At 37.6% G+C, this 22,207-nt stretch overlaps 1 protein-coding gene across 87 annotated transcripts in view; it reads left to right on the forward strand.

Moving 5' to 3' along the window:
• The window catches only part of MAP2 (microtubule associated protein 2), a 310,066-nt gene extending 302,250 nt beyond the window's left edge, over positions 1-7,816 (forward strand). For all 87 annotated transcript variants that reach the window (NR_164698.1, NR_164697.1, NR_164695.1 and 84 more), the window contains 2 exons: positions 3,554-3,666; positions 3,886-7,816. Coding sequence is in view for 81 of the 87 variants with exons in the window: in NM_001375493.1 (NP_001362422.1) it covers positions 3,554-3,666; positions 3,886-4,101 (329 nt within the window). In the remaining 6 variants the exon portion in view is untranslated. The remainder of the gene's footprint in view (positions 1-3,553; positions 3,667-3,885) is intronic.

Below are 22,207 nucleotides of genomic sequence, written 5' to 3' on the forward strand. Positions count from 1 at the left end.
TTATTTGACCATGAACCCCTTTTGGTTTTTCAAAATATCTCATACGACTAGTGCCCTAAAGTAGAATTTATATTCATAGTTACTGGGAGATTTTCTCCCTTTAAAGTGTGAATCTAACATTATGAGTCACTTTTTCTGAATATCATGTATTACATGTTTTTGTTAAATTCTACCTCCATAGAGTGGGCATGTTGGCTCATGCCTGTAATCTCAGCACTTTGGGAATCCAAGGCAGGAGGATTGCTTAAGGCCAGGAACTTGAGACAGACTCAGCAACATAGGGAAACCCCTGTCTCAATAAAAAATAAAAAAATAAAAATAAGCCGATATGGTGGTACATGCTTGTAGTCCTAGCTACTTTGGAGGCTGAGGCAAGAGGATCACTTAGTTTCAGGAGTTAGAGGCTGCAGCAAGCTATGATCACACCACTGCACTCCAGCCTAGGCAACAGAGCAAGACCTTGTCACAAAGAAAAAACTCTGCCTCCATAGATATGTAATAAAAGATGACTGTCATATTTGTAATTTTCTTGAGAATATTTTGACACAATTCATTTATCCCTTTGAGAACAAAAGGAAAGCAAATGGTTTTAACTGTCTGTGTTTGGCATCTTAACATGAAAACAAAGTAATAGGTTTTTTTCCATGAAACAAGGTATAATAACAATTGAGCTGTTAGCTGACAATTATTCTGCTAGTCAGGAGAAAATTATTAATAAATTATTGGTTGAAAAACAAAGATAGGTAGAATAAATTTCAAAATGGATAAATGCATTGAAAACATCTGGAAATCAGGATTCATTTTGTCAATGAGTATTCATTATAAAGCAAGTCAAAGAGTTACAAACTACATTTATGATGTCTTCACTTACAGTTTCAGAACTGCTGCCATGGAATTAGCTTCTCTACTATTCATGACGCAGCAGGAAGGTTGTCCCATACTTCATATCTTTGAAATTCTCCTGTCCACAGCTGAAGTCTACAAACACTAAATTGACTTTGTACTGCTGTGTCAACAGCATGGCTGGAATACTTGGCAACACTGCCTATTTTCTTTCAGAATGCAAAAGAAAATGCTGGACTCTTCAATTCTAGACAGTAAGGATATAGTTAGTCAAACTCACCTGTGACCTAGATGTACGGAAAAATTTTATATAGATAAGGAACTATTCTGTGTATGATTTGTTGGTCATAAAAGGCTGTTGTCATGGACTCCCACCTATTTCTAAATCTAGCTCTTGCTTCTATTATAACTGAATCAAATGACTAAATTCATAAAGAAGTGTAAGCATAATAATCCTTGACAGCAGCAACCTTTTCACAAAGTTACTTTGGAATGTGGAATATCTAAAGAGAAAATAAAGAAAATAAACATCTGGAGGCACACACTGAAATATCTGTTCTTCTCAACTTCATTTATAAAGCTTGACAAAGATAATAGTCTTTCACAATTACTGCTCCTGATGGGTGCCAGAATTCTTCGAAAATCAAAGGCATGGATCTCTGAGTTTAAGATATCTGGATTCTCTAACAGTTGCATAAGAATTTCTAGAGGGACTTCATCAGAAATAGACTTCTTAAGCTTCCTTTTCTGAATATGTTTTGGGTCAATAATACATTATTATTTTTCCCTCTCAGAAGACAGTTCATAGTGAGAGTCCATCTCTACAAAAAAATTAAGAATAAAAATAAGCTGAGTGTGGTAGTGCACACCTGTAGTCCTAGCTACTCAGAGGGCTGAGGAGGGAGGATCACCTGGGCCCAGGAAGTCAAGGTTGCAGTGAGCTATGATCATGTCACTTCACTCCATCCTGGGCAACAGAGCAGACCTTGTCTCCAAAAATAAAAAGGACATTTTAGCAAAAATTTAACACGATTATATTGACACAACATATAATCAGAAAAGTAAATGATTTCTATCAGAGGCTACCAAAAATACAAAAATAAGATCACAAAGAAGTTGTTCTTATCTAGTTGAAAGTCCAGTATCCTCTAACCTCTAACCAAGATAAGTCTGTTTTTATGAATCATTGCAAATCATGTTCATCTCATCACAATCAATAAGTGAGACCCATATGGCCAGGTAAAATGTGGGAAGAATAACACTCTATAAAATGAGGCATATTTTCAGGGAAGGATAACTACATCTCTAAGCATGAGTTAAATAACATCATACAGTTTCTAAGCCTTAAAAGAAGAACGAATGGATGTTTCTCCAAAATGTAATCTAATTATGTAATATAATTTCAAGAGGCCCCTGGCCAGGCAGTTGGGTATTAACATAGATGTCTAGATATTGCATGAGAAAAATACCTCATGGCTTAAGAGACCGTGAAGCCTTAACAAACCTTCCTCTTTCGTCTACAGAGATACATGAGCAACAAGAATCCAAAATTGCAAAATCTCTTTCATATTTCCATACGGTCCATCAGGCATTTTTTCAAAATCAAACTCCCAAGCAAGATGCACTTTATGTACTCAACATGTTTATTGGAGCAGCTTTGAAATATGTAGTCTGTAAGATACATCACAATCAACAAGTGAGACCTACGTTACCGCTTCTTTCCAGAAGAACGCATGTGCTCAAAACCAAGTTGCTGTTAAAGTGAAAGCAAATCTCTTAGGTGGTGATGAGCAAATAAGGAGTCCAATTTCACTTTTTATCTAGATCAAATACATCAGCAGACACTCAGAAATGGTCAAGGACAGGCTCAAGGACAACGAGTAACTTGCCCAGTGTAGAAGAACTTTCCATATTTGAGAGCTTGAGAAAGACGTGTAGAGATGGGGAAGACTACACTGAAGAGTGCAGCATGGCACTGTTATAATCAGCAGATCAGAGTTCTAGACTGGTTAGCATTAGGGAAAATGGCATGGTCAAAACTCTGTCTCAATATTATCAGATCAAGGTCAGCGTCATATTGGTCCTATGGCATCCATACAAGAAAGAGATGATGATCTGTCACTCCATATATGAAACGGGAGGCTTTTAAAGCTTACTAGTCATAAACAACTTACCTCCCGACTCATTTCATCAGTGAAGCTTTCAATGTTGAACATTCATAAATGAATATATTGCCCACATGTGCACCACTTCCAGCCTAAATCTTCTTTGGATAAGTAACCTGTTACCATGAATATAAAGAAGAGTTTCATTTAAATTTAATTTGGTCCCTTAGAAATAAGAGACTAAATGTTCCAACTTTTAGAAAGGATTCAAATAAGATATTTTCATTTTGCTAATTTTTAGAGTTCTTGTTATACCAAAAAGAAAAGCCCCTCTGATTTCTTAGGTTAGACATGGGTAAAGGAGAAAGGTATTAATACGTGAAGCAATCCATATAATAGTATAAGAAGGGTGTTATGGTCTTGCATCATATGAGGAAATGATATGGGCTAGAAATTCTAAAAGACTCTTTTTACATATATGGTTGGAGGGATGGTAAAGTTAATAAATTTGTGGTTTGCCGTAGTCTATCTACTGCAGTCATTTTTGGGAAATAGTTACCACGAATGCAAGATATAGTTAAATCAAGGTATTTCTTCCCTCATAGGTGGCGGACGTGTGAAAATTGAGAGTGTAAAACTAGATTTCAAAGAAAAGGCCCAAGCTAAAGTTGGTTCTCTTGATAATGCTCATCATGTACCTGGAGGTGGTAATGTCAAGGTAAGAAACAAGGTTATGAGCCAATCTTGTCTTTTTAAAAAAAATTCTTCTGAAATACTCTTCATCAAAATAGGTCCCAGATTGTAGACCTGGACAAATAAGAAGTGGGGATAACAGAGGTGAATAGAAGTCATTAATGTCAGCCCTGGGAGATGGAGAAAGAGGTAGGGGCCAGTTAAGATGCATGAGTTAACGAGGACTGATGCTTGTCTTAAACAGATTGACAGCCAAAAGTTGAACTTCAGAGAGCATGCTAAAGCCCGTGTGGACCATGGGGCTGAGATCATTACACAGTCCCCAGGCAGATCCAGCGTGGCATCACCCCGACGACTCAGCAATGTCTCCTCGTCTGGAAGCATCAACCTGCTCGAATCTCCTCAGCTTGCCACTTTGGCTGAGGATGTCACTGCTGCACTCGCTAAGCAGGGCTTGTGAATATTTCTCATTTAGCATTGAAATAATAATATTTAGGCATGAGCTCTTGGCAGGAGTGGGCTCTGAGCAGTTGTTATATTCATTCTTTATAAACCATAAAATAAATAATCTCATCCCCAAACTGTAGTAATTGTTACAATTTTCTATTTAAAAAATGAATAGTACATGCAGAAATTGACCTGATTTCCATTTGCAACAGGAAGACACTGGCTTTACATGGGTTCAATTGGACAATTATTTTTGCTCTGCTCTGTTTTGCATGGAGTATTATTATTTTAAAAATTGCATTTTTACCTTTCATGTGCCTGAAGGCTATCCACTACATTCTGAAGGCCTTGTTAAAATCCAAGCTGCTCATTTCACTATTCTGTTTCTGAGTGAGAAGATAAAAACTGCCCATTGTAACTTATTTCAGGTTAAATTAAACCAAGGAGTCTGATTGCAGGAAGGGAAGAGCATGTAAGAAATAAGTTTTTTTAAAGTGTTATTTTGTATAAATGGGAAGAAAGATTCAATTAAGTTATTAACATTTGGGACCTGGATAATTATATCAGAGTATGTCAGTCCAATAAATTATTTAACTAATTAAAAAATAGTTGCAAAGCATTTGAGCTGTGGTTGAGGAAGTGGTGTAAAAGTGCATCCATTAGGAATGATGCACTTTCATTAGGATGGACTCGTGTCTGATTAGAATGTCAGTTGATCAGCTAGATTTGTGTCCACACTACCAGTTTCACACCCCCTTTCCATCTGTTTGATACAGTATTATAGATATAAATATATATATATTTCTCTGTGGCCATTTGTGATACTTCCTCATATACTTGAATATTATACTTCTTTATTCACAGTATCTGTGTCTCCTGCACCCTTTGGTGTTGCAATTTTAGATATGTGAAAGTAGATGTTAGCAGGGTTCTCTCCCTATTTAAAAAAAATACATTAAAAAAGACAAAAAATTTTAGCATGAAGTTGCTTTCTGTAACAACTCAAAGCCGTAACCCTGTTTTAGTGCCAGATACAAGTCTCTCCCGTGATGCTAGACAAAAAATTATTTTTCTTTGCTTTCACCAACATGGAGTTTGTGGGGGTGGGTCCAGTTATACATGAAAGGGTTTACAGATTGTTGGTTTAAGATTATGGATTTATCTCATTTTTAATCACAGGATAGTTTGGGGTTTATTCCTATTATTATTCATGAAACCGACTTAAGATTTTTTCTTTATTTTTCTTTTTTTTTCCATTTGCTAAAGTTGAAAGTTGAAACTAACTATAATAGTTTGAAACATGTTTTCTCATTTTTCCAAATAGTATCTGTTTATTAAATTCTCTAATAGAAGATGTTTGTCTTTCTTACCCAAAGTAAAGATCCCCTGATCAGAAAGAAAAAATACAATACTTTGGGAAGCTATAGCTATAAAACACTTGAGACACAGATATCTAAATCAGTTTTTTTCCAAGACTCCAACATTGCACTCTGTAAAGTAACACACTGTGATCTAGTATTATTTATCAGTAGATAATACTGTTCTGACTGTATATACAGTCTAGAACTCACAAATCAATTAGTTCCTCTCACAAATCATTCATCTTAGACTTACAAATAAGGAATGAAATAGTCAATGGCCTGATTAAGGCAAAGAGCTACCAGGCTAGATGGACACTTTTTAAAAATTTTATCTGTTCTTTTTCTTGCTCAGGGCTGGTAGGTTGGATCTGAACCATTAAAATCAAATGGTCCACTAGGCGTATGATCTCTTTGAGCCAAATCAGTTCCTGAATATAAAGGAGGAAATGATGAGGATGTACTGAGGCAACGGGGAAGTATAGAAACATCCAAGACAAAAGCCAAGGGATGCAAAGGCAGAGACACAGGTGCTTTTTGGTGACCCAGTGGATATGGCAACCAGTGTAACTGCCATACAAGAAACCCTAGGAGCAAACCCACACCACTCATTCTCAGCTAAGAGATTTTACACAGGCAAACGTGTCTTAAACCATCTATAAATCAGTTATTTTATATGACAGTCAAAACCTTAGAAACCTTAGGATCATTATATCTATTTTCTGCCTATTAATTGCTGTGAGGTTTGATTTGACCAATCTGGGCAATTTATTCATCAGCTTCCCTTGAAGTGCACCAGAAAATAGAAGAAAGGTGTGTGGAGACTTAGGGTATTTTATTACATGTTTTCATAGTCTTAAATAGTGATTAAATTTCTCTAGAAAGAAGTTAACAGCTCATTAGAAAAGTTTTAACCTGTGAAATAAGTATTTTTCTCAACATTCTTTAAAGTTTTTATATAAGTTAACACTAGGTAAACATTCTGCATACTAGAAGTCAGTTTATTACAAATACATGTCAAAAATAAAGATTATACAAGGCACCAAACTACTAGATTTGGCATTAAAACAAATGTTTATTTCTAATCACAACAAAATTATAATGAATAAATGTTCTTGCTTTGTATGGAAATACAATTCTTTATTAAAGTTAACAGAAAGGAACTGATCGTTTGTACCAGTAAAAGAGAGAAACACACAGGTTAAATATCTTCTTGTGGGGTTAAGGGGTAGAACCTATCTTGCCTTCACTCTCAAGATAACGACTCAAATTAAGCTTTTTGAGCACCACTCTTGTGGGGACACACATACGCTGATCTAGGAATGAAATCTTCGTGGTCTCAATTCTAGATCTACTATGCCAGTTTCTCTCTGGCTTTAGCCTTTGAGAACCTGTATAAGAATACGTAAGTAATCCAGAGCTGTGAAGAGTTTAAAGGCCAACTTCTCCAGTGAACTCAACCTCTGGGTCACTTGCAACCAGAAATTGGATACCTCATAATGATGCAGGAAAGACCCGAGTTCATGATGAGTTTCAAAGGCCACGTTCATTTAGGAACCAACTCTCTCTGGATTTACCTGCTGAGTTCCAGCAGCGTGATGGGCTGACATCCCACCTACAAGTATGACACCTGTGTAACACCAGCTAGGTACGGCTGGAGAAGGCTGAAGAGAGAATGCCATTAAATGGAAGAATGTACTGATTGTAGTGACCTTCTCCACACACACACACACACACACACACACACACACCTACAGTAATACAGCAAGCGTGGAATAATCAGCCAATATATAACATTCCATCAGTATTTTATTAAGGAAATAACCTGAATGTGGTTGATTTTGACATAGCTGCAATTACAGTTTTCTTCTATTTTTCAAGCCACAATAAGGAAAATAAACTACTCATGGTCTAAATACTAGAGATAAAGTAGATTCATGGCTTGGTAAGGAAATTTTAAGCATTCCTTCAAAGATTGACGTGCTAAAATAAGCATTGATGTTTTGAGTTTTTTTACACCTAGGATTTTTAGCTTGGGTGTGTAGGTGAAGGCCAAGACTCTCTGCAGGAAAAAGCTTATTTTCAAACTCAGAAAATAAAATGTCAATCATAAAAATCTACTTCAACTTTAGCAAAAAGAAAAAAAAATCAACAAAAAGTATACTCTGTATGCTGGGATTCCGAGGTTCCAACACACTGTTACAAATCTGTGGGGGGTTTCTTTCTTCTGATAATTCTAGAGCCTGTTACCATAGAAAGGCATTTCTTCAATGGCTGGTTGTAGTTAGTTCATGTTTTTCAATCAAATTTGCAAATGTATTTGTTGCTGTATAGTGATTGTTTTGCAAAATAAAATTGCTTGTCACCTAACTGCTAGTTTTGGTTTCAGACTGTTTAATTGCTTCTCCTCTGGAAAAAAAATTTTATATATATATATAGTGATATAGTGCGTGTGTGTGTGCATGTGTGTAATACAACCAAAGAAAAATTGTGAAAACAAGGCTATTATTATGGCTGAGTTTCTATTATGTGTCAGGCTCTATACTAAATGATTTTATATTAGCTCAATTAATAAGGAAATTTATTTTTATCACTACTGTATTAGCAGGATGCTATCTTTTGCAAGTGACAAAAATTCTAATTAAACGGGCTTAAACGTAAAGGTGAATTTGTAGGCTCAAGTAACTGACTACTCAGGTGTATCTGCCTCAGGCATGGCTGGGTCCAGGCCCTCAAACGACGTCATCAGGAATCTTCCCTTTTCCAACTTTTAGTTTTGCATCCTCTGTGTTGGCTTCCTTCTCAGGCAGGCACCCCTTCCGTGATGGGCACCAGAAGCTCCAGATTTCACAACCTATCAAAGAAAGCCCCTTTACAGTAGCTCAAATCCAGGGTCTGAAAATCACTGAACGATTAATACTTGGATCTCCTGCCTACTTATGCTAATTGACCAGGATTGGCTCACGTACCCAACTCTGTCACAGGTGGTTGGAGTAGAAGGAGAATAAGGGGAGAAGTGGCTTTATTCTCCTCCATACTACCTGAGCTAATCGTGGAGAGGAAACGTTTCCCCCAAAGTTAATTCAGGCTACTCCTGCCAGAAGAGAGGAATTGATACTGTACAGGCCACAAAAACAAATACGTGGTATAGCTGCACCCCTGTTCATCTTTTAGCTCCTTACAGCTCAGATTATGCTCAGGCTTCACCAGGGAGCTTGATAGAAATACAAATTTCTGGACTCCACCCCAGACTAACTAACTAACATTCCTCCAGGTGATTCATCTGCACTCAAAAATTTGAGAAACACTAAGCTCATTCAGTCCCTGCTAATGTGTTTAAGGAGAAAGAGCTCCGTTGCAGGTCTCTAATGGATAAAAGTTATCCCAAAGACTATTTGAGACAGCATCCCTACCTCTGATGTCAAACTAGGAACCAAGGCATAGAAAGCTGTGACTGGTAAAAGAAATACTTATGTGTGTATTAGAGGTTTTCCAGCCCTCAGACTATTTTAACTTGGCTAAAACCTACTTCTCTTATTAATGGCATCACTTCTCATTCAGTCTCCTTTTGCTAATAATGCAGATTTTGTAGAACCTAGCAAGAATTATTAGTGTATCTCTAATAATTCCTTAAAATCAGCACACATGTTGTCCTTCAGAGTCTTCAAACCATGAGGATTAAATTTGTCCAGTAGCATGAATCACCATAAAATTGTTGATTTTCTTTTTTATTTGTTAACAAGGCAAGGAAAGGTTTATTTGCCTTGACAAGAGACAACCGTAAATAATGGAGGATGACAGGATAACATTCAGTGTAACTTACAGAAAGATAAATGTTCCTCTTCTTGTTTATGATGTGGCACTTCCTTGTAGACCTGAGACTTCAAGAATTTAGGGCTAGAAAATTGTCAAAAGTATACAGTCTAGCAACCTAAAATTGTTTCAAAATATTAAGCCCTTCACTCGACTTTCTTGAGCATGATAAAGCAGCATCATGGACACACTCTTTAAAGCCCTTTTTCCACCTCTCATGCCTTTCCCTCACAAATATGCCTCAGCTGTTTCCACTTCTACTCCCTTAAATTCCAAGACAATCTCTGTCCCAGGCCTCAGTTGAGGTAATAAACCTGTGGCCTCCAGATAGGCTTTATTTGGCCTGCAAACTGTTTTCAAATTTCAGAAACTTCACATGCACACACACACATCCCAGATTTGGATCTTCGCTCTTGGTGACCATTGACCAGAGCTGTCCATGGGTACCTCTGAGATGGGGTTTATTCCCTTGACTTGGCCACCATGCCCAGCTAGGCTTATTATTTTCTCCCACCCCTCTGCTTTCACTCATTACGATAAGCATTAAACTACAGATTTAGAGTTTGTAACCCTTGACCTAGGCACACTTGTCTTTCTCGCCAATATTTTCCTCATCCTATAAAACAAAAGTCCAAAATCCTAGAGCCCCTAATCCTAGAGCCAGGGAGTTAGGGAGGTTAGATTAGAATCCTCAGGGTGACAGAGAACTGGGAACACCAATATTTATAGCTTTTGTCCTGTCTCAAAAAAAAAAAAAAGCAGGGGGAAAAAGACCTTTAAGAAGCACATTTATTTCATAGCAGCAACTGTTAATGTCCATGATAAACATATTTAAGTTTCTGCACACCCCTTATACTTATTGCTAAATCAAGGGAAAAAAAACTGCAGTGGAGTTTGTTTCCTTGTCGTGCCACCTATGATAAAGATCTCATTGTCAAGTGAGAAATGACAAAAACTATTGTCTTACTCTGTAGGACTGAACATATAGGATACTTGCCTATTCCTTTTAGGAACAAAGAAAGGCATAGCTAGGAAACGCTCTAGCCTAGACAAGCCAATGTTCTTGAACCCAAGGCTGATCTTCAGGCAATATACATGTTATTTAATTGAATAAGTTGTTACAATATTGAAAGACTTGCTGCCCAAGCCTCCTCCGCCTTACCAATGCCCACATTGGCCACCCAAACCTATTCTTCTGTGCTCCACAGATGTCCTCTGATTCCAGCATATACAAACGGACAGCAGAAGGCCTTCAAAATCCTGCTCTAGTCCCCTCAAAAGTCCTGGCTTCCAGGCATCACCAATGGCTACTGTCCCCCAAAGGCTCCTGAGAACTAGCTCGTGCCTTACAAACTGTTGCAAGAAGCCCAGATGGGCAGCACAGAAGGTCTACACTGGCACCTAGCAGCCTGCTTTCCTGCCAGACAGCCTGCCACAGCTCTTATTTGCCTACCCCATCCCTGCATTACACACCCCCAACCAAGTCAGAAGGAGATTGGAACCCCCCCAGAGGAGATAGTGCCTTTAGTGACATGCTGGTAGGTAAATACCTGGTGCACATGTAATTATACCTTGAATATGGTCACCTGTTGTCAGTCGCTAATCCCCTAAGAACCTCTCTCATGTAGTTGCTTATGAAAACTAGTCACCACAGGGCTTGAATTCTTAGCATAGTATAAAAAATGGACAACAGGAACTAGGGGGGTAATACAGGTTGCTGAGGCCACAAACAGAAGGATGTTGTCATAGATAGGCTAGCCTATGGGATGATTTGGGCTAACAGATGTCTAAGGTAAGGAGTTTTTATGGTCCATGTTAATAGTCACCTCCATTTTAAACCCCCAAAGCCCAACTGATGTGGGTATTAACACTTTTAATTTTATTCTTATTTAGTGATTGTGCCAGGCATCCTTAAAAACATATATTAACTCCTAATAGTACTGCATTTGTCAGCATCACCATTTTACAGATGAGGAAACTGGGGCTTAGGTCATTTAAAACTTAATGGCAGAGCTAGAATTTTAACCCAAGCAGCCCAATAATAGATGTTTCATGTAGTGGATTAGGTTTAACCTAATTAAATATTCTAATAAACCATTTTTATGACAGTAATGATATCAAATACAAGGTGTATAATACCTTATTATATCTCAGTATTACAAGGGCTAGAAAAATGTTCATATATTTGCTATTTAGCAAAGGTTAAACAGGTTTATGAATAATAAATATCATTTACATAAAGAGAAATGCTTTTTTTCAAATAAATAAATACAAGTCATCCAATGACAATCAATTTGAAATCATTGGAAGTATTTTATGTGGTTCTCTGCATCGTCATGGCTTGTACAAAAAAAAAATCTAGCAAGTGACATCTAAGTCAAGCAAAGATCAACCAAAAATTTCTAAAATTCAACAATTTATTTGGAAATTTCTAGGAAAATTGTATAAGCTATTTTTACTACAACACACATCACTCAATAAGCAGTCTTATAATTCATATTGTTTAGAGAATAAAAGCAAGTTTTCTGGTATATGTGTTAACTTATAATAGTGTACCAGCCACTAAATATTTTAACATCACCCTTGCTTCCAGCCTCATTATAAGCATGACATGTCACTTAGATTTTCCTTATGAAAACAAGGATCTGCAGTTCACAGCATAAAATATGAGAATACCCGATTAAGCCTTAGATGTGGAATGCACACGTCAGACAGTCTTGTTGAATTTTGGTAATATTAGTAAACAAAAATATGCTGATATTCATTAGCATCAGAAAACTAAGACACAAGCCAAGGGGACTTCTCAGCCATTTTTCTGCTTCAAAAGCACAAAAAGCAGAAAGCACTCATTATGTGAATACCAGAGTAACAATATTTCATCTTTACTTGTGTAATGAGAATGTTGAACAAGCATGACTCATATGAATTTTGATCAAAACACAAATTTATTTCTGTCTCTCACAGTTCCTTTAAACATCCTACTGAATGGTGAAAGAAATTTTCCCCTGCCTCAAGCTGAAGACTTGGTCAAACCTATGGCTTTTTAGGCACTCTCAGATCATAAAATTATTTGGTTATAAAAAGAAGTCTCGATTATAAAGTGTCTCATTTCAGACATTAAAATGTCCAATGCACGAAATAATGAAAACGCGTAAGATCTATACCATGGATTTGCCTTCAGGCTGCAAGCCTGCATTGAGATTGGGGCATAGTTATCTGTTTCCTTCTCTATGGACTCACTTTTTTCCCCTGCTGACAGGTGCTGGGTTTGCTCCCTTCAGAGATAAAACTTGGGGAGTAAGAAAAAGTAAGGAGAGGTCTTACTTGATTGGGGGTGGTGCACTCCATGACTGTGGTGGCTTAAGCAGATCTTTTCTCTTTTTCATTGGGCATCCAGTGATAGACCTTCAGCCTCTTTCTACTGAGGCATCTAGCCCATCTAGGCAGTCCTACTGGACAGGACCCAAGGTGTCTGTCTCCAGCTCTCTCTCCCACCTATCTCTCACCTGACCTGCATGTGTTACCTACCCTAATAATTCTATTGGAGGCAGATCCCAACTCAGCAGCACTCTTCAGACCTGCCAGTCAGAGCCATCAGCTTCCTCTAGCTACTAGATTTCTCCAGCCTGAAAAATCTCGTGTCTACCAACATCCGTGTCCCCCAACTCCACGGAACACATTTCAATGCTTTCCAAGTAGTCCTTTTAAATCACTTTATTAAACTTAGGATAGGAAGGTAGCACCCCCCTACGCCTCCCCCAAAAGAGAAGTGTGACCCACAGACAACGTGGGGAATCCCTTATCAGTCGCCTCTCACCAAATCCCACTCTATCCCATTTTTGTGTCTTTTATCTGATAGAAACAAATCTTTGATATCATTTCCTGTGTCCATCTGCACATGGGAAGGGGCAATTTTTCACTCTCTTTTTTGTGACCTGATGTTAATCAGGCCAGCCCCTCAGTAGATTCTCACATGAAAAGAATCTTGTTTTAACATCTTGTTGCAGTTGTCTTTTCCACACTTTTGGCTAGAGTGGTCTCATAATGTCTGGACCCTTTTAAACAGAAAACAAACAAAAACCATAAACACTCATTGAATGCTACATCTTCATCTGCTCTAGTGCCCTCAAGGCATTAAGAGCCAAGTTGAGGGAAGCAGATCATACACAACTAACCGTAGCCCAAGATAAACAGTGATAAGTGGTGGAAGCTTAAGTCACACAAAGATCCAGGGGACAAAAGGGGAGTCAGAAAGGACAAGGGGATGAGAAGGGACTTCGAAAGAAAAGGCATAAAGGCATGAGTGAAGGACACATTCTGAACATAAAAATCACCTGGTATATCTGGAGTAGAGGTAGGTCCAAAGAAAGGAGGCCAGGAAAAAAAAGGAGCTTGGAGACAGATTTTGGATCTTCTATCATATTCAAACGCTTGATTTCTATTGTGTAAGCTCGCAGAGTCATTAAAGGTTTTGAGGAGAAATGACATGATCAGATCTGAATTTTAAAAGAGTAATTTTGGCAACAATGTTGAGATTGTACTTAAAAGAAGGGTTGTTAGTTGGGGAAACCAGGGAGAGATCACTAGAGTCTGGGCCAGGGAGTAGCAGTGGTGGCATGGAGGAAGGAACAGGCTTAACACACTTTTGAAATAAAAGTGACAGAACTTAGTGACCATGGTATATGAGTTGGTTAGTCGAGAAAGAAATAAACCTGAGGCTTTTCACTAGCATAATCAAGTAGATGATAATGCAATTAACTAAGATGCAGTATGCAGGTGAAGAAGATGAGGTGTCAGTAGATTATCCAGAAAGAATGAAAGAAAGAAATCTCAGGAAATTATTAATTCCCATCTGGATCTTAGAAGTGGGATCATGACCAATGATGGTTATATTCTTATCACTCCAGATTCTGGATGGTCCCAAGCCAGGGGGGATTAAATAAGAGTAAGAGGAGTGGCTTGCCCTGATCATCTCTAACCCAACCATATTGATCAGTAATGAGCATTGCAAAAGCTTGGCTTTTGAAATAGAAAGAGTCCTATTTATCAGATGCCATGCATAAAATAGGAAATAATAGCTACAACTTGCATCTCCTATCCTTCATCCCAGGGCATTATTCTCTCCAAATTCAGGTGTTATCCCTTAGGATGGGTCCAGTTGACCATGGATGCAATGTTGATGACCACCCCAGTTCTATGACTTGTCTGTTCTGGGTCCCTGTAGATGTTGCTTGCTTTAGAGAAAGAGGAATTGAGTTTCAAAACATTATCTGAGCTAGTAGGATGCAGGCTACATCACATCGGTGGGCTTATTTTATCTTCAACTCCTCCTCTGTCATCATCAGTGTTGGCTCTATTAATTGGTCTATTGTCCCAAGACAGTTACATCTGAAATTGAGACAGCATCTTTTTCTTCTAATTGCTTTATTTGTCCTTGATATTCACTCATTAGACACCAGGTATATATTTACCTTAGCTCCATTTATTTTGTTTAGGGACAAAACATCTGATCATCGAGGAATAACATCCTAAGTCAGCAGTGGCCAGAACAAAGTTATTAATTTTCTGTGATCCCAAAATATTTGACATTTATTCTAATGTTCTCATTTGCCAAAGTTCATAATATCTTATAGGAATTTCCGAAATTCCTATAACATATAAATGATGCCAGTTCTAGGGAATAGATGAACTCATTCAGGCTGAGCTCACAATGGAGAGAATTAAAAAGTCCAAAATGAGACTTAGTGTAGTTTTCATATTGAAGTGACAAGTAGAGAAAAAGGGAGATCAGAAAAACTAAGGACTAGTCATTGGAGGGATGTTCCTAGGAGAAAATGTTACAGAAGCCACAAGAGTAGATGTTGCACAGGGTTAAAATCTGCATCTGCCAAATATGAGAAAGGAGAAGCATTTTACAATGGATCGCTCAGTGACTTTGCAGAATGATGGTGGATGCTGAAGATAGAACAAGGTTTCTTGTGCTGTACTTCTTCATTTCACTTTTATATAACAGTGGCAAATTGCAATATCTTCTCCAGCTCCTGAAGGACCATCTGAAAATAATTTCCCCACTCATAGCTTGGGGAACTTTGAATACAAATATTTTCCTCTAGAAATGCCTTTCATCCGGGGCACACGATGTTTGTCAACATCATCCATGATAAAAAGGCATCTCTCTGTGCTTTGGCATCTCACCCTGTCACTCCAACAGCTGTTTCTGAAAGCCAGCTTCTACTTTTATTTGTTCACAACCACCTGGATTTGCTATCTTGCTGGCCATGGATGCTAACTGACACTGGCTTCTAAATGAATATAAATTGATTTATTTGCTTGTATAATGAGAAAAGTACAAATACAATTTTTCAAAAGGGTAAACAGGCTTTGGTAAGTATATAAAGCAGCTTCAACTCAATGGAATATTGGGTTAAAATAAAGTGATTAAAGTCTGTTTCATTACTTATTCATCCATTTATCTTAGATTAAATCCTTTAACCAACCATTCCAACCACAAAAAAATGGTGATGGTAACCTTGCTTTTGTCCTTGTATTTCAGCCAGTTAGATTTCCAGCGTGATCTGTGATTTTCAAATGACAATTATTGAGTTTTCTCATTTATACATTACAAGAATAGTGGATGATGAGTTGATGAATTTAAAATCTACCTTCAGGGCCAGTCTGGAAAACCACAGTAGATTAAATCTGGTTACATAATTTATTGTGATTTCTTCTCCAGATACCTTTGAATGTATTATACAATCATGCAGTCATAAAACTGCCTTTGAATTATTTTCTATTTTGATCCAATTCCTATGCTCTCATATACATGCATGTGAGCATACTCTAAATAATCTACATTTTATGACGTGCCCATTCTAAAATTAAGTTAGTTTTTAATTTCTTAGTGGGAAGTGTTTCTGACAACTCCAGCATGAAAAGGAGAGGAGGAGACTGGGTTTGCAGGCTAGCTCTTAGAGAGAACTTGTAATTCCTCCCAGTTACATCACCTGTGCTTTCATTCCTGGTGCCAGAGGATCAATCGTGCTTGATTAGAGAAGCACATTCACAGCAACACAATCTGTGCAAAGCAGGAAAACTTCAAGAGGAGATGGGGCATTTACCTTTGTCTTGGAAGGAAATTTTGCAGTAATATAACAACAAAAATCACATTAAATAGTAACGTATAAATTGGTGACTTCCAGTCTTTTTAGAACATAGTTTAAATATAGGAAAGCAAGTAGAATACTTCTTCCAGATCATCAAATCCACATCCAATGTCATTCCTTCCCTTTTTACAGCAAAATTTCTCACCAATTTTCTCTAGAGAACCATCAAAGTTTAATACAATTAATTACATTAATTTGAGAGGAAGAGCCTATCTGTAATCTAAGTGAATAAAGTAAAAATTGAAGAAAAATTAGCAAAAAAATCTACACACTGGAAAAATAAATTCAAATTACCAACTATGATACAGCAGTTGGAAACAAGATGAGATATCTTTATTGTTGCAAAGGTGTTTCAATCACCAGGGCCATTATTCTCTATGCAAGACACTTGGCCGAATCTTCTTTCTTGTGTTTGAACCAATAGCAAAGCTCGTGCTCAGCTATTTCCAATTCCCCAGACATGACACCTAAGAGGAACCCATAACACCTATTCCTTGCGTGGTGGAATTTTCCTAACTCACTAAGCTATGGTCCTAACACTACTAGAAAGGAAACTTCCCAAATTCTCCTTTTGAAGAAATGTATGTTGTTCTTGCCAGCTAACATATTTTCTTCAGCAGACAAATGTGATTCTTACACAGGTTGGGTAAGTGTGCTCGTCTGTAATTCAATAACTATATGAGTTTTACAGCAAGATCTTATGGACTGGTTGGTATGAGTGTGATAAATCAGTCTTTTCCTTTGGGAAAAATGATCTTTAGGATCATTCCTTGGAAAAAGATTAAACCCGGGAATGATCACTTATGTAAATTAGAGGTTATAAACAGAGAATAATCAGTTTTAAGAAGCAGAATTAAATAACAGTCACTTGTTTGGTATTTTCAGCAATTTATATACAGATACATAATGGTAAATTATGGTTCTTACTGCTTATAATGTATTTAATGGAATCAAAATGTATTGCTTTTCAAATATGCCTTAAATGTTTTGATACATTGCCTCTTTTAAACTTCACAATAACTCTATGAGATAAATATTTTTATATTCATTTCATGTTAAAGAAATGAGAACCCATAAGGCTAAATAACTTGTCCACTATCACACAGATAATAAATGACTGAGAAGTACATGAATCCTTGTGATTGAAAACCCATCTTCATCCATGTCCGTGTGGGCTGGGGGGAGGGGGGAGGGATAGCATTACCTAATGTACATGACGAGTTGATGGGTGCAGCACACCAACATGGCACATGTATACATATGTAACAAACCTGCACGTTGTGCACATGTGCCCTAGAACTTAAAGTATAATAATATATATATATAAAGAAAAAAGAATTTAAAAAAATTTAAAAAAAAGAATATGTAGAACTTTAAATAAATCAAAAAAAGAAATGCTAATTATAAAAAGGGCATTAGCTTCTTATACTTGAGAATTTATTGAAATTTGCAGTTATATTTTTATTAAAATAAAACCCTCATCCTAATCCTGAAAGGAGAAACTGTGTAGTAGCATACAAAGAACATTAACTTTCTAATCCTGACCTTACTGTTTCTTGGTTATGTAACTTTAGGCAGCTTACTTACTTTTTTCTGTGCCTCAGTTTCTATACTTGAAAAATGGTGACACTGCTAGGTACACACACACACACACACACACACAAAATACAATTAAAAAGTGGGTGAAATTCACAATAGCAAAGACATGGAATCAACCCAAATGCCCATCAATGATAGTCTGGATAAAGAAAGTGTGGTACATATACAACATGGAATACTATGCAGCCATAAAAAGGAACGAGATCATGTCCTTTTCAGGGGCATGGGTGGAGTTAGAAGCCATTATCCTCAGCAAACTAATGCAGGAACAGAAAATCAAACACCACATGTTCTCACTTATAAGTGGCAGCTGAACAATGAGAACACATGGACACAGGGAGGGCAACAACACACACTGGGACCTGTCAGAGGGGGTAGGGGGAAGGAGAGTATCAGAATAAATAGCTAATGCATGCTGGACTTAATAGGTAGGTGATGGGTGGTTAGGTGCAGCAAACCACCATGGCAAATGTTTACCTATGTAACAAACCTGCATGTCCTGCACATGTATCCCAGAAAGTAAAATTAAATTAAATTAATTTTTGTTTTTTAAAAAGTGAGTGAATAGCTCACAGGATTGTTGTGAAATTTTATTTTATTATTTTATTTTATTTTTAGAGACAGAGTCTTGCTCTGTCACCCAGACTGGAGCACAGTGACACGATAATGACTTACTGCAGCCTCGAATTCCTAGACTCAAGTCATCCTCCTGCTTCAGTCTCTCAAGCAGCTCAGATTACAGGCATGCACCACCACACCCAGCTAATTTTTTAAAATTTTATTTTTTGTAGAGATAAGGTCTCATTTTGTTGCCCAGTCTGGTCTCAAACTCCTGGCCTCAAGCAATTCTCCCACCTCGGCCTCCCAAAGCCCTGGAATTACAGGCATGAGCCACTGCAACTGGCTTGTTGTGAATTTAAAATAAAATAATGTGTAGAGTTGTCTAATAAAGTACGTAATTGTAAGTGCTACATTTTTCTGCTGTTCCACTCTTTATATTTTTATGTTTAATAAAATATCACAGCATAAAATTTTATCAGAAGAATATACTATCATATTTTTTGTACCATGCTGTTCATTAAACTTGTATTATGAACATCTTTTCAATTCAATATAGGTTTGCATTATTTTTTATGACTTTATTGCATTTCGTTTTGTGAATATATTATAGCTGAATTAATTATTTATGTTTGAGCCTTTGGTCTGGTTTTTTTTGTTTGTTTGTTTGTTTGTTTTTGAGACAGAGTCTTACTCTTGCTCTGTCCCCGAGGCTGGAGGGCAGTGGCACGATCTCCGCTCACTGCAAGCTCCGCCTCCCGGGTTCGCGCCATTCTCCTGCCTCAGCCTCCCAAGTAGCTGGGACTATAGGCGCCAGCCACCACGGCTGGCTAATTTTTAGTATTTTTAGCAGAGACGGGGTTTCATCGTGTTAGCCAGAATGGTCTCGATCTCCTGACCTCATGGTCCGCCCGCCTCAGCCTCCCAAAGTGCTGGGATTACAGGCTTGAGCCACCGCAACCGGCAGGTCTGTTTTCAAATTTTCACTATTATAAGTGGTTCTGTTTTCCCATATCCCCACAAAGATTTGTAGTTATTTCCTTTGCAAAATTTTCTAGAAATGAAATTGTTGCGTCAAATGGTATCCAGATTTACAAGGGATTTTTATATATGTAGCCAAATTGTCTCCAGAAACTGTGTGTTAAGTTTTATGTTCACAATAGAGGGATACTTCCCCACTTCAATTCGTTTTCAATTTAGATCCTTTTGATAACAAGTGATGAAACACCATTCTCTTATTAAGTTTAAAAAATTTTTTTTGTCTTTTTCTTTTTTTTTTAATGGGTTTTCTTTTTTATTTATTTATTTATTTATTTTTTATACTTTAAGTTTTAGGGTACATGTGCACAATGTGCAGGTTAGTTACATATGTATATATGTGCCATGCTGGTGCGCTGCACCCACTAACTCGTCATCTAGCATTAGGTATATCTCCCAATGCTATCCCTCCCCCCTCCCCCCACCCCACCACAGGCCCCAGAGTGTGTGATATTCTCCTTCCTGTGTCCATGTGACCTCATTGTTCAATTCTCACCTATGAGTGAGAATATGCGGTGTTTGGTTTTTTGTTCTTGCGATAGTTTACTGAGAATGATGATTTCCAATTTCATCCATGTCCCTACAAAGGACATGAACTCATCATTTTTTATGGCTGCATAGTATTCCATGGTGTATACGTGCCACATTTTCTTAATCCAGTCTATCATTGGTGGACATTTGGGTTGGTTCCAAGTCTTTGCTATTGTGAATAATGCCGCAATAAACATACGTGTGCATGTGTCTTTATAGCAGCATGATTTATAGTCCTTTGGGTATACACCCAGTAATGGGATGGCTGGGTCAAATGGTATTTCTAGTTCTAGATCCCTGAGGAATCTCCACACTGACTTCCACAATGGTTGAACTAGTTTACAGTCCCACCAACAGTGTCAAAGTGTTCCTATTTCTCCACATCCTCTCCAGCACCTGTTGTTTCCTGACTTTTTAATGATCGCCATTCTAACTGGTGTGAGATGGTATCTCATTGTGGTTTTGATTTGCATTTCTCTGATGGCCAGTGATGATGAGCATTTTTTCATGTGTTTGGCTGCATAAATGTCTTCTTTTGAGAAGTGTCTGTTCATGTCCTTGCCCACTTTTTGATGGGGTTGTTTGTTTTTTTCTTGTAAATTTGTTTGAGTTCATTGTAGATTCTGGATATTAGCCCTTTGTCAGATGAGTAGGTTGCGAAAATTTTCTCCCATTTTGTAGGTTGCCTGTTCACTCTGATGGTAGTTTCTTTTGCTGTGCAGAAGCTCTTTAGTTTAATTAGATCCCATTTGTGAATTTTGTCTTTTGTTGCCATTGCTTTTGGTGTTTTGGACATGAAGTCCTTGCCCATGCCTATGTCCTGAATGGTAATGCCTAGGTTTTCTTCTAGGGTTTTTATGGTTTTAGGTCTAATGTTTAAGTCTTTAATCCATCTTGAATTGATTTTTGTATAAGGTGTAAGGAAGGGATCCAGTTTCAGCTTTCTACATATGGCTAGCCAGTTTTCCCAGCACCATTTATTAAATAGGGAATCCTTTCCCAATTGCTTGTTTTTCTCAGGTATTTCAAAGATCAGATAGTTGTAGATATGCGGCATTATTTCTGAGGGCTCTGTTCTGTTCCATTGATCTATATCTCTGTTTTGGTACCAGTACCATGCTGTTTTGGTTACCGTAGCCTTGTAGTATAGTTTGAAGTCACGTAGTGTGATGCCTCCAGCTTTGTTCTTTTGGCTTAGGATTGCCTTGGCGATGCGGGCTCTTTTTTGGTTCCATATGAACTTTAAAGTAGTTTTTTCCAATTCTGTGAAGAAAGTCATTGGTAGCTTGATGGGGATGGCATTGAATCTGTAAATTACCTTGGGCAGTATGGCCATTTTCATGATATTGATTCTTCCTACCCATGAGCGTGGAATGTTCTTCCATTTGTTTGTATCCTCTTTTATTTCCTTGAGCAGTGGTTTGTAGTTCTCCTTGAAGAGGTCCTTCACATCCCTTGTAAGTTGGATTCCTAGGTATTTTATTCTCTTTGAAGCAATTGTGAATGGGAGTTCACTCATGATTTGGCTCTCTGTTTGTCTGTTGTTGGTGTATAAGAATGCTTGTGATTTTTGTACATTGATTTTGTATCCTGAGACTTTGCTGAAGTTGCTTATCAGCTTAAGGAGATTTTGGGCTGAGACAATGGGGTTTTCTAGATATACAATCATGTCATCTGCAAACAGGGACAATTTGACTTCCTCTTTTCCTAATTGAATACCCTTTATTTCCTTCTCCTGCCTAATTGCCCTGGCCAGAACTTCCAACACTATGTTGAATAGGAGTGGTGAGAGAGGACATCCCTGTCTTGTGCCAGTTTTCAAAGAGAATGCTTCCAGTTTTTGCCCATTCAGTATGATATTGGCTGTGGGTTTGTCATAGACAGTTCTTATTATTTTGAAATACGTCCCATCAATACCTAATTTATTGAGAGTTTTTAGCATGAAGTGCTGTTGAATTTTGTCAAAGGCTTTTTCTGCATCTATTGAGATAATCATGTGGTTTTTGTCTTTGGCTCTGTTTATATGCTGGATTACATTTATTGATTTGCGTATATTGAA

The sequence above is a fragment of the Homo sapiens genome, chromosome 2 (genome assembly GCF_000001405.40).
Source record: "Homo sapiens chromosome 2, GRCh38.p14 Primary Assembly".
In the NCBI taxonomy this organism is placed as follows: Eukaryota; Metazoa; Chordata; class Mammalia; order Primates; family Hominidae; genus Homo; species Homo sapiens.